The sequence below is a fragment of the Homo sapiens genome, chromosome 5 (genome assembly GCF_000001405.40).
Source record: "Homo sapiens chromosome 5, GRCh38.p14 Primary Assembly".
Taxonomy (NCBI): Eukaryota; Metazoa; Chordata; class Mammalia; order Primates; family Hominidae; genus Homo; species Homo sapiens.
Window position 1 is genome coordinate 93,463,456 of NC_000005.10, and position 14,546 is coordinate 93,478,001.

The window sequence follows — 14,546 nt, forward strand, 5'->3', positions numbered from 1 at the left end:
ATGTGGGGTTGAAGCCCCCACAGAGAGTCCCCACTGGGGCACTGCCTAGTGGAGCTGTGAGAAGAGGCCATCATCCTCCAGGCCCCAGAGTGGTAGATCCACCGACAGCTTGCACCATGTGCCTGGAAAAGCTACAGACACTGAATGCCAGCCCATGAAAGCAGCCAGGAGGGGGCCTGTACCCTGTAAAGCCACAGGGGTGGAACTGCCCAAGACCATGGGAACCCACTCTTGCATCAGCATGACCTGAATGCAAGACATGGAGTCAAAGGAGATCATTTTGGAGCTTTAAGACTTGACTGCCCTGCTGGATTTCAGACTTGCATGTGGTCTTTAGCCCCTTTGTTTCGGCCAATTTCTCCCATTTGGAATGGGTCTATTTTCCCAATGCTGGTACCCCCATTGGATCTAGAAAGTAACTAACTTGCTTTTGATTTTACAGGCTCATAGGCAGAAGGGACTTGCCTTGTCTCAGATGAGACTTTAAATGGTGGACTTTTGAGTTAGTGCTGAAATGAGTTAAGACTTTGGGAGACTGTTGGGAAGGCATGATTGGTTTTGAAAAGTGAAGATGTGAGATTTCGGAGGGGCCAGAGGTGGAATGATATGGTTTGGCTGTGTCCCCACCCAAATCTCATCTTGAATTGTAACTCCCACAATTTCAACATATCATGGGAGGAACCTGGTAGGGGGTGATTGAATTATGGTGGCAGGTCTTTCCATGCTGTTCTCATGATACTGAATAAGTCTCAAGAGATCTGATGGTTTTAAAAAGGGGAGTTTCACTGCACAAGCTCTCTTTTCCTGTCTGCTGCCATGTGAGATGTGCCTTTTACCTTCAGCCATGATTAACTGTGAGTCCATTAAATGTCTTTCTTTTCTAAATTGCCCAGTCTTGGGTATGTCTTTATCAGCAGCATGAAAACGGACTAATACAACCACAAAGCCCTTTATTTACTAGAAAATTAGAAAATGTGTTTTAAAATAGATGTTTTCAATTACCCTTCTAATATAGTCTTAGAAATTTAACAGCACATGATTAAATTTGATTAAGAGTTTTTTAAGTATTTTAAAATCATGTGATTAACAGCACATGATTAAATATGATTAAGAACCATATCTACAATGTTGCAATTACCTAAGAATTCAGGCAAAGAACCTATTTTAGTAGGAATATTCAGATAACTAATCAAGTACTTGAAGTAGCTATGGCCCAATAGGGCCTCTGAGCTTCAGGTTTTTTTCTCCTGAAAACGGAAACAAATATTCATGCAGCCTAACATTTGCAAAAACATCTAGCAGCACCTGATACATAAGCCCACAAAACAATATTTACTGAATTGGCCAACATTTACTTCCACTCAACATCACTGATGTTGGCCTTTGAAAGAACAAATCAATGAGAAATTGCTAGGAAAAGTCACCTATTCCATCATGGTTCTGCAGTACTCTTCCAAAGGTAAAACAGACCTTCAGTAGTATCATCTAGCGCAAGCTGTTCCTGAATAACCATCTCCCATTCCTACAGTGGTATTTATATTAATAAATGCTACTGCATACCTGCCTAAGAATTCTCCTGACACCTTGCAGCTTTGCTGCAAAAGCCAAAATAGAAAAATGGGATCTAATTAAACTAAAGAGTTTCTGCACAGCAAAAGAAATTATCATCAGAGTGAACATGCAACCTACAGAATGGGAGAAAATTTTTGCAATCTACTCACCTGTCAAAGGGCTAATATCCAGAATCTACAAAGAACTTAAACAACTTTACAAGAAAAAAACAAACAACCCCATTAAAAAGTGGGCAAAGGATATGAACAGACACTTCTCAAAAGAAGACATTTATGCAGCCAACAGACACATCAAAAAATGCTCATGATCACTGGTCATCAAAGAAATGCAAATCAAAACCACAATGAGATACCATCTCATGCCAGTTAGAATGGCGATCATTAAAAAGTCAGGAAACAACAGATGCTGGAGAGGATGTGGAGAAATAGGAGTGTTTTACACTGTTGGTGGGAGTGTAAATTAGTTCAACTATTGTGGAAGACAGTGTGGCAATTCCTCAAGGATCTAGAATTAGAAATACCATTTGACCCAGCCATCCCATTACTGGGTATATACCCAAAGGATTATAAATCATGCTGCTATAAAGACACATGCACGTGTATGTTTATTGCAGCACTATTCACAATAGCAAAGACTTGGAACCAACCCAAATGCCATCAATGATAGACTGGATTAAGAAAATGTGACACATATACAACATGGAATACTATGCAGCCATAAAAAAGGATGAGTTCATGTCCTTTGCAGGGACATGGATGAAGCTGGAAACCATCATTCCCAGCAAACTATCACAAGAATAGAAAACCAAACACTGCATGTTCTCACTTATAGGTGGGAACTGAACATTGAGAACACTTGGACACAGGAAGGGGAACATCACACATGGGGGCCTGTTGTGGGGTGGGGGGTTGGGGGAGGGTTAGCATTAGGAGAAATGCCTAATGTAAATGACGAGTTGATGGGTGCAGCAAACCAACATGGCACATGTATACATATGTAACAAACCTGCACGTTGTGCACATGTACCCTAGAACTTAAAAGTATAATTAAAAAAAAAAAGATTGTTACTAGCTAGAGGAAGCTAGGAGGGATGGAAGCAAAAGAGAGGTCAACCCTCAGATGGTTGAGGCCTTCGCAACAGAATGAAGACAATCTTTTCTCATTCCACCCATTCTTTTTTCTCATCTTCCTTCCTCTCATGTTTCCTCCAATAATATCCACCCACTTTTGCCATCTCTTTTCCTCCTCCTCTTTTGCTTCCACTGCCATAATTTTTTTAATCACATACTGCCCTCAAAGAATTCTTTTTTTTTTTTTTCTTGAGACATGGTCTCGCTCTGTCACCCAGGCACTGGAGTGCAGTGGCGCACTCAATCTCAGCTCATTGCAACCTCCACCTCCTGGGTTCAAGAGATTGTCCTGCCTCAGCCTTCCAAGTCGCTGGGACTAAAGGCGCCCACCACCACGCCTGGCTAATTTTTTATATTTTTAGTAGAGACAGGGTTTCACCATGTTGGCCAGGCTAGTCCCAAACTCCTGACCTGAAGTGACCCGCCCACCTCAGCCTCCCAAAGTGCTGGGATTACAGGTGTGAGCCACCACACCCAACCTAGAATTCCTTTGCTATTAATCAGTAGCCTCAGTAAAAGACAAGTTCTCTATTAAGAAACTGTTAAGAGTAGATCTGATATTCCTTTACATGTCAAAAAGAACATTGACATCATCCACACTATCAAGTACTCATTATGAAGGCAACAGAATGAAACAAACAATCATAAAGCCATTCTCTTTCACCTCCTACATCAGGAATACTGAATGCTTTGGGGCTTCATCTGATTAAAGTTTCTTCTTTTCCTTCTCCAGAATATCCCTTTTTTGGGGGGGGGGGGGGTGGACGGAGTCTCACTGTGGTGCCCAGGCTGGAGTGTAGTGGCACAATCTCAGCTCTCTGCAAACTCCACCTCAGAGGTTCAAGAGATTCTCCTGCCTCAGCCTCTCAAGCAGCTGGGATTACAGGCGCCTGCCACCATGCCTGGATAATTTTCTGTAGTTTTAGTAGAGATGCAGTTTCACCACATTGGCCAGGCTGGTCTTGAACTCTTGACCTCAAGTGATCCATCCGCCTTGGCCTCCCAAAGTGCTCCAGAATATATCAATATCGTGAAAATGTCCATATTGCCCAAAGTAATTTATAAATTCAGTGTTATTCCCATGAAACTACCATTGACATTCTTCACAGAATTAGAAAAAAACTCATATGATGCAGGGGTTTTCCTCATCACCCCTTCCAGTTTTTATGGCCAAGTTCATCCCAGAGAAGACTTGTATCATTGAACTATGCCATTCACTCTTCAATTTTCCAAGGCATCCTCTCCTCATTTTTAGCACCCTTTTCTAAGGCCCTCATACTTCTTAGCTTCCCAGGAACCACCCCACACATAAATTTGTCTCTCTAAGCCTTGCCCTCATCAGGCCAGTGCTCCGTTCAGTTGATTTGACTTTAAGTCCCAACTACTGCCATCAAAATGTTATCTGTTTCGTGTTCTACTATTTCAGTTTCCTCATCTCAAATAACTATTCTGCTAAACAAATTCAATATTCTGGTAGAATCCTTTGTTAGATAACAATTTAAGGATCAGCCAACAGATAATTCTTTTTTATTATTATACTTTAAGTTCTAGGGTACATGTGTACAATGTGCAGGTTTGTTACATAGGTATACATGTGCCATGTTGGTTTGCTGCACCCATTAACTCGTCATTTATATTAGGTATTTCCCCTAATGCTATGCCCTGACAGGCCCCGGCATATGGTGTTTCCTGCCCTGTGTCCATGTGTTCTTATTGTTCAACTCCCACCTATGAGTGAGAACATGCAGTGTTTGGTTTTCTGTCCTTGTGATAGTTTGCTGAGAATGGTGGTTTCCAGCTTCATCCATGTCCCTGCAAAGGACATGAACTCATTTTTTATGGCTGCATAGTATTCCATGGTGTATATGTGTCACATTTTCTTAATCCAGTCTATCATTGATGGACATTTGGGTTGGTTCCAAGTCTTTGCTATTGTGAATAGTGCCGCAATAAACATACACGTGCATGTGTCTTTATAGCAGCATGATTTATAATCCTTTGGGTATATACCCAGTAATGGGATGGCTGGGTCAAATGGTATTTCTAGTTCTAGATCCTTGAGGAATTGCCACACTGTCTTCCACAATGGTTGAACTAATTTACACTCCCACCAACAGTGTAAAAGCACTATTTCTCCACATGCTCTCCAGCATGTTGTTTCCTGACTTTTTAATGATCGCCATTCTAACTGGCATGAGATGGTATCTCATTGTGGTTTTGATTTGCATTTCTCTGATGACCAGTGATCATGAGCATTTTTTGATGTGTCTGTTGGCTGCATAAATGTCTTCTTTTGAGAAGTGTCTGTTCATATCCTTTGCCCACTTTTTGATGGGGTTGTTTTTTTCTTGTAAAGTTGTTTAAGTTCCTTGTAGATTCTGGATATTAGCCCTTTGACAGATGAGTAGATTGCAAAAATTTTCTACCATTCTGTAGGTTGTCTGTTCACTCTGATGATAGTTTATTTTGCTGTGCAGAAGCTCTTTAGTTTAATTAGATCCCGTTTGTCTATTTTGGCTTTTGTTGCCATTGCTTTTGGTGTTTTAGTCATGAAGTCTTTGCCCATGCCTATGTCCTGAATGGTATTGCCTAGGTTTTCTTCTAGGGTTTTTATGGTGTTAGGTCTTACATTTAAGTCTTTAATCCATCTTGAGTTAATTTTTGTATAAGGTGTAAGGAAGGGATCCAGTTTCAGCTTTCTACATATGGCTAGCCAGTTTTCCCAGCACCATTTATTAAGCAGGGAATCCTTTCCCCATTGCTTGTTTTTCTCAGGTTTGTCAAAGATCAGATGATTGTAGATGTGTGGTGTTATTTCTGAGGCCTCTGTTCTGTTCCACTGATGTATATGTCACCAACAGATAATTCTTTAACCCAAAGGAATGCTTAACAGGGCTTTTTTGGCTCATTGGTAAAGATATTTGTGGAAAAGCTTATTTTTGATACTCTCTAAATTATAGTCATTTGAGTTGCTTAATGATGGGGATATGTATTGAGAAATGTATCATTAGGTGGTTTCGTCATTGTGTGACCATCGTGGGGTGTACTTACACAAACCTACAGGGTACAGCCTACTACAAACCTAGGATATATGGTATGGCCTATTGTAGGCTACAAACCCATAGAACATGTAACTGTACTTAATACTGTAAGAAATCTTAATGCAATGGTATCTGTGTATCTAAATATATCTAAACATAGAAAAGGTTCATTAATACTAAGGTATTATAATCTTATGGGACCACCATCCTCTATGTGGTCCATCATTGACTGAAACATCACGCAGTGCATTACCTTACCTAACAAAAGCAAATTATATTCTGTGTATACAGAGAACCCGGTCATAGGAAAAACCAACTAAAGCTCAGTAAACAATCACAGTATTAACAGAACCTCTGTGTAGGAAAAGACCTTGAAGTTTATCTAGTTTGTAAGTTTTCTTAGGCTAGAAACCAGATTATTTATCTTCCACAACAGCTTGCACCATGCCTTCCTTGCACACAGTAAATACTCAAGAAATACATGTTGAATCAATAGATACTTGAACCTCTATCTGATGCATAAATCTCCTCTAGATTTTTCCCTATTCCCTACATCCACACTCCCTGTCAGTTATTGTGGATATAGCTAGCACAGTAGCAGTTCTAAGACCGAAGGCTGTTAATATCAATGCAAAAGGGTGACTATAGATATTTGACTCTCCCTAACCCTCATTAAAGCTATGCCTTCAGTGACATATATTTAATAGAAAATGTGACAAGTGCAAAATATAACAACTGTTTATAGTATTAGTACAACATATTTATCAAAAGTAAAGGAATCAGTTCAAATTGTGGTTAGCAGTCTAATCTGACTTAAAACAAGATACATCTTCCAAAAGCATTCATATTCTGAAAATAACTCATAGCCACAAAAGGTAAATATTTACAGGACAGAAATCTAGAACAATAGTAATAGCAGAAAACTTTTCTGCTTTTTATTTTTACCAACTTGATGTTAATGAAATATAACATTGCCATCAGCATAATACAATAAACATGAAAGGGTACCTAATATACTTAGAAATTATGGAAATCCCAAATAATGACAGCAAAAACAAAAATTATGTTTTTACTTTTCCTTTCATATGTCTTTTGTGTTAGTTTGAGAGCATATGACCTTGTTATCTACATACTATAATAAAAAATTGTTAGTGTGCCTAGATGCAGGCATTAAAAATAACTAAACAAAATCATATTTCTCTGTGACTAATAAAAGACCCATTGCACAGGACCCAGTTCTCATCTTTCTATGTTGGAAGCTGTACTAAATGCAGCTAACCAAGAGAAAAATATCTAAACAACTCTCAGAAGTAGCATATCTATATATATATATATTACATCTTTGTTGAAATCTCAAATCTTACATTATCTAAAGATTTGAATCACCTTTAAAACGGTATTTATGAAAATTCTAATCTCCTATCATGTTTACTTGTCCTGTAAGTGGATATATCACTCCTAGTAACATGCCTGTGTCTGACACTACTCATATAGATGAAAGCATACAGTCATTTTAGGGATTAACAGAAAAACAGACATTTGCATGGAACATTTCCCTTATTAGATATTATCATGTTAGCATATTTTTACTATTTCTGATTTTACTACAAAATAAAATGAGTTTACTTTTACCCTTAAGTTTTTCTGTAATGTATATTGCCGATAATACAAATACTTTAATTGCTCATTAGAAAAATCTCATTTTACTCTAAAAATTGCCATAGAAATTAGCCCTGAAGAGAACTTATAACACATACAAAAATCAAGATATGACTATGTCAAACTGGTATACTAGTTTCCATTTATACCAAATTTTACTTTTAAACATTACTTTAAAAGTTAAAGATATATTTTTGAAAATCCCAGGCTAGATCACATAGTCATTAGAATGTTATTTGGCCTCTTTCTAAATTAGTGCCAAAATGAATCAATTAGACAAGAATCAATTAGCAAAAAACTATATACTGATCAACTGACTTAACAACTAGCCAAACTGTATATTCAAAAAGCCATCCATTCTTCTGTCCGAAAGTCTCATTTGGGGTGGGCAGAAGTATGCATTGGCACTTTTCTGGAAAGCAATTTGGTAAGATATGTTGTGTTAATGTTCATTCTCTCTGACCAGTAATTCTACTCCTAAGAATTATCCTAAGGCAATATTCAGAAATGCAACAAAGTTTTATGTATAAAGACGTGCATTCCAACATTATTTACTGGACAAGGAAAAATATCCAAACATCAAAAAGAGTTTAATTTTTTAAAAATGAATGCAATGCAGCCATTTAAATCACAATATGAATAGAATATAATAACCTAATAAAATTTTCAGAAAATGTATATAAAATATATGAAAAATTTCTGTAGTAATTACACCTTTGGTTACAGGTGATAACTTACATTTTTCATATTTTTAGGAGTTTATAAGACTGCTATTCAAGAATAATTGAATTTTTTACACTGAACTAGTATAAACAAAGATTGTTAGAAGCCATTTTAATGAGTGATAGTCGTATTGTATTTCACATGCACAGTAAAGAAAGAACTGTTGGTCATAAGTTGATGACTGTAATCAGCTGGCTCCTTCTGAAGCACCATGGACAATGGTAAAGGTTCCCCGGTTAATAATTATCAATAATCAAATTAGGAGAGCATTTATGTTAACAATTTGTATTTCCATCAAAGGTGAACTTATTTAACCAATAGCTGCGTATCTCACTAGGGACAGTTAATACAACAAAACCGCTTGAAAAAGGTATAGAACCAATATTCATTTATTGAGTATGTAACAAGTACAATCTAAACCCTTTATTTCATTTAATCCTTACAGTACTATACAGTATGTATTATTATCCATTTTCAGAGGAGGGAACTGAAGCTCAGAGAGATTAGATAACTTATATAAGTTCACAAAGCTGGTAAATAGTGTTGCTATAATTTGAACCCAGCCTTTTCATATGCAGAATCCTTAATGATATCAATGAAGGAAATTACACTGTAATGATGAGATTGTTCGGCTTGCATAAGATAATGAACTTGAAAATATTTCAACTGTAAAGCATTAAATAAATAATTTTGAAAAGACAATCATGAATTTGCTGATCATTAATAGTTTTTGACAGAGTCCACATAATTAAGTTAAGAGAAAGACAAATGTTTTAATTAATGTTCAACAAGATAATGCCTAATATCTTGTGCCAGGAAATAGTAGGTGTGCAATAAATACTTGTGTTATTGAACCAAATTAACTTGATACTGACTAAAATAAAAATAGAAATATGTAAATATCTCTTAGCTACTCTCCATAAGCTACATGAATATACTCTCACTCAAGATATAAAAAATTAAATTTGCTAAATGATTATACATATATGTAAAATATTTAATTGACATTTCAGACTACTAATCATTAGGTAGAAAAATCTGTGGGTTGTTTTTGGGGGTGAAGAGATATTCACATATATACAAAAAAAACAGAAATCACACACACAGAGTGGTACATTTAGTACCTAAGCAAACCAACACTATATTGAATAAAAATCTAGAATGGATAAAATAATTAAGAATGTTTCCATTTTAACTCTGAAAATGTAATAATTAAAATTTTTAATCTGAACATTACCTTCCCTTTAAACAAAGCATTCCAGTGATATCTAAAAATTTCCTATTTTGGATATTTGAAATAATAGCTCCTAATCATTTAAATAACCTGCTAAAATGCTGTTAAATCAAAATTAAATGCCTGTTGTTTTGATTTAAACATGACCTGAACAATTTTTGCCTATTTTTACCAATATATAAAACATATACCACCTATACCATTAAGATGATTAAACCAAGTTAAGGCCCATGTGTCATGTAAATTTCCAAAGTTCAAATATTTTTGTTGCTGCCAAATGCAGCAAGGGTGGGCTTTTCCTTGCTATTATTTAGTTTACAGTTTAAATTGCTACAGACAATCAAGGAACAAATTGGGAATAAAAACAATATGTTACTGATGCACCAAGAAAAATGAACAGATATGGATACTGTCAGATAAATGCACTAAAATCTGCCATATATAAGGTAAACCAGAGTTTCTTTCTGAGTAATAAAGATATGAATTATTCTTTTCTGCCAATATATTCTGTTGATCTTTAGCGATAGAATAAATTAATTCTAAAATATTTTTATCTAAAAATACTTACAGTTCACTCTTACCTACTTAATCAGTATTGTCATCCCAAGGGAAAATATTAAATATACAGAGGTTTCTTTGGAAGCCTCCCGTTGCCTCACAAGTATATAATTAGTTACATTCCCCACACACTTTTTCCTACTCCAAGATTTCAATTATTATTAATGATTAAGTTAACTGAAGTTGGTATCCCCTTTCCCATCTGCCAGGCTTATTTGAGGTTTTAATATACCCTTAAATATATATATTATATATATAAAGTATGCTTCAATATATATATTGAAGAATGCTATAGTATATTCCTAAAGACCAAACACACACACACACATACACACACACACTCAAATCCCTTTTTGAGATACAAAGGAATTGAGACTATCCCACAGAACAACAGACTCTGGTTGATATTCTGGAAAGTAGACCTTGCTTAGCCACTATTCAAATTTAAATAGTGGCACAGCATAGATAACCTACTCATGGATACTTGAGAAATTAATTAGCAACTCTCCAAGATCATTTATATAATTTGCTTTGAGTTCAAATGAAACTAGCTTATAAAAATATCAGTATCCTTTATGTCTTCTTTGTAAATAATTATAAATTATAGAATTTAGATTAATAAACAGAGCTAAAAGATAAATTAAAACTATATTATTATTACTTGATATTATTAACCAGAACATAATTATAAATAAAGCGGAAAGGATTAACTAAATCAGTTGAGTTAAACTTATAACACAAAATTTATCTCCTCTAATGTTTCAATAATTATATTTTTCAGGCACTTTGTATACAAAATTGTCAATCTTATCACATGTATTACTGTACAAGATTTGTTAAGATGACCAAATTTTAATCGATTTAGAAAGTAAAAAAGGCTTAAGAAAAAGAATTGTATAGTAATTCTAATAACATGTCAATAACTTGTCACAGTTACTTGCTCAGGTTCATCTTACCCACTGTTAGATTCCCAGAACCAAGTATACTGCCTATAACAGTACAATACTCAATAATATTAAATTGAAGTTACATCTTTCAGCAGGCTGTACCAAAATTATTTTTTAAGAATGTCTTAGTCCATTCAGGCTGCTATAACAGAATACCATAGGCTAGATGGCTTATAAGCAACAGAAACTTACTTCTTACAGCTCTGGAGGCTGGGAAGTCTAAGATCGAGGAACTAACAGATCCAGTGCCTGGTGAGGGCCTGCTTCCTAACTCATAGATGGGTGTCTACTTATTCGTTGTCTTCACATGACAGAAGGGGCAAAGCAGTTCTCTTGGGGTGTATTTTTATAATGGCACTAATACCATTCATGAGGGCTCCTATGACCTAATCTCCCTACCCTAATCATGACTCTCATGACTTAATTACCTGCTAAAGGCCAAGCCAATACATTGGAGATTAGGTTTCAACATACAAATTTGGGGAGAACATAGACATTCAGTCTATAGCAAAGATGATTTCCCGGCCAGGTGCGGTGGCTCACGCCTGTAAATCCCAGCACTTTGGGTGGCCGAGGCAGGCAGATCACAAGGTCAGGAGATCGAGACCATCCTGGCTAACACGGTGAAACCCCGTCTCTACTAAAAATACAAAAATTAGCCAGGCATGGCCGTGTGTGCCTGTAGTCCCAGCTGCTGGGGAGGCTGAGGCAGGAGAATGGCGTGAACCTGGGAGGCGGAGCTTGCAGTGAGCCGAGATTGTGCCACTGCACTCCAGCCTGGGCAACAGAGCGAGACTCCATCTCAAAAAAAAAAAAAAAAAAGATGATTTCCCATCCTGAAAATTTTAGTGTGTGTATGCCTATGTGGATTTTTCTGAGACAAAGATCCGTACCTGTCATCAGGGACTCAAAGGACTATATGATCCAAAAAGTTAAAAGCTATGGACCTGCACAAAATATGGATGGCTGAACACAGGCCGTGTCTTTTAAACACACAGCAGAAAGCACCTCTAGAAATAGATGAGAAGAGGAAGGAAAGTCAACTCTAGAAAAAAAACAAAGGAATTTTGTTGCTTTTCTTCACCTGTTTGTTTGTTGCCTTTGTTATTCTGCCTACATTAACCAGAATTAGCAGATTACTACAATTCTTCATTTGATTTCAGTGGAACAAATGCAGCCACTGATAGAATTACAGTACAGCACACCCTAGAAGGGAACACAACTGCTTTCATTAAGTTAAATGTACCTATAGTAGGATGAACAAGTATCTTACTAGATAATTCCTTTCGAATCTAGAGCTTAGCTTATTAAATATTCCTGTCATTAATTTTTGTCATAATCATTTGCTCCAACTCAGTAAAACAGTTGCTAAAACTCATATGATGAAAGAAAGCTAGATTTCACATTAATTGCCCCTTTCAGTATCACTTAATTTTCTTCCTTTAATTTTGAGCACACCTGTTTTGAAGGTGAGCACCATACAGCCTTGACCCCCCACGTTCACTGTATGTACTTCATGCCAGTAACTAAAATGCTATAATTCCACATCATTAAATTAAGCAATAGCCAAGTTTCAGATTTTACACTGTCTGACTACTAAAATCACATTAGTTCACTACTAGAGTTTAGTCACTGTATCAACTATTGGTATTAAATCTTTGAATGCAATGAAAGTTAACAATGCTATTTTTATGTTGTGCCAAAAAAATCATTCAGTCTGTTTTCTCTTTTTGATTACAGTTCATTTAAGGGAAAAATGTTGCTGTATGGTTTGACAATGTTTTGTGTGTCTTCGACTGATAGAACACACAAAACGCTTGAATAGGCCCATTTATTTGAGCAGACATATTAAATAATACTTTAAATGTGAACATGCATGTCATAAATTTTGTAGTCTCTTTAAAGTAGGATAAATCTGGTATTTAAAGTAGCCTTTGTTCAAAGCCATCTTTTTTTCTAACAGTCATAAAGGGACTCTGATTTGTGCTGCATGAACAATGCCAGCATCATCATTTTAATGTTATCCATATGGGCTTCTAATAATAGATAAGAGTCTACATTTGTATTATATGTCTTAGAGACATTTAAAATCTAGATAAGGAAAGGCTGAATTCATTGGCCCCACAGTTAAAGGAAAGCAGACCCTAATTAAAAGAATTCTGTTCTGAATTAACTAGTTTGACATGTGCTAATTGACAGTTCCTGTGAAATGGTTCTAATTAAAGTCAATATGTCTTTTTCAATTAAAAGGAAATTAAGAATATACTAATATACATTAACAACTTAATCTGCCTTCAATATCCCATACATCAGCTGCTTTTCCTTCCTAACGTTATTGGAGAACCATCTGACATGAATCATCTACTGTTTGCTTATGGTATCTCATTATTACTTCACACGAGCACAGCAGTAGTAGGTATCCCCTTGAGGAAGAAGATAACCTGCACATGCTTTGATTTTTCAGAACTCCTAACTCTTAGTTCATTAACTATAAACCACCTTTTTGAATTGGAAAAAAAAAATGGACATTTCTTAATAAGAATCTTTGCTAAATGAAAACAAAGACAAGTGTTCTCAATTAGTTGGTCTTTTTACTATAGGCCTTAGAGGTAATTGCATTCTGCTGGAAAGAAGGCTGCACTAAGTTTTCATCATTTGGTTTGATTCAAACCAAAGCTTGATTTGAGCAACATAAAACAAAAACATCTTTCAAATCATGTTCTGTTTCCCAAGTGAAACTTCGGGGAAATATCAGGTGGGAATACTTTGCATTGTATATATAACAGGAAATAGAAAGCAAGATTGCTTAAATGTCTGCACTAACAGAAGGCCCATGTATACAATGAAAATGTAGCATTAGAGAAGCTGTTTATAGCAACATAATTAAATATTCAAATGTACATTACCAAAGCTATGGTGTTAGCAATTTCAGTTCCAGAGAAAGTAATATTAAACTGAAACATCAATGCTAATGTACACAACATTAACATCACATGGAGAACAATGAAAAAGATTAAAACTATTTGTTTCTTAGTAGATGATTAAAATTTAGACATTTTAATTACAATAAAAGGGTTTTTCAAGGAAAGTTTTTACACTATCAAGATACTATATGCAATTTTTCATGATATAGCTAATATTTTGATAAGCATTCCATCACAACCCCCTTTCTGCAGTTTAGAATTCAACATGAAATGTAACAACTTATATAAATAGGAAATTATTTTACTTATTTTCACCAAAATTCATATTTAATTTAGATCAAGAAAAAAGGTAAACAAGTCTCTTCCACTTTGCCACTTTTATTCACTCACATCTTTAAAAGATGAAATTTGCTATCACCTGTAGCATTCTGAGGAGCAATGAGAGAGAGAGGCAGCTAGCCAGCCAGCCAATACAATCTCTCATTGAAAGCATTTTTCCCCAAATGTACTCTATTATTCTTTCTGAGTAGTTACCAAAAACTTTAATGAAAATCATCTTAAGTGGAACTCAAAAAGCATCTGAAGTCTAGTGAATTTCCAGAATGAGTAAACACATATTAATCTACTTTCAATAAAGTGCCTTCTCATAATTATAAATATAATCAGACTCAACAGTCAAAATGCAGTGCTATGTATTACCATGTGGAGCCCCTAGTTTGATTTCCAATCCTGGGACTTGCTCCTCAAGCTGGCATAGA

General features: G+C 35.7%; 1 long non-coding RNA gene across 47 annotated transcripts in view, besides 1 other annotated feature; it reads right to left on the reverse strand.

The window, feature by feature from the left end:
- The window catches only part of NR2F1-AS1 (NR2F1 regulatory antisense RNA 1), a 176,234-nt gene that overhangs the window by 54,100 nt on the left and 107,588 nt on the right, over nt 1–14,546 (reverse strand). The window lies entirely within an intron of this gene.
- Nucleotides 12,304–14,056: an enhancer, noted in NCBI's record as "VISTA enhancer hs546". NCBI's record gives its function as "enhancer in: limb[7/7] | eye[7/7] | nose[7/7]" and the evidence as "EXISTENCE:transgenic organism evidence [ECO:0001131][PMID:17130149]".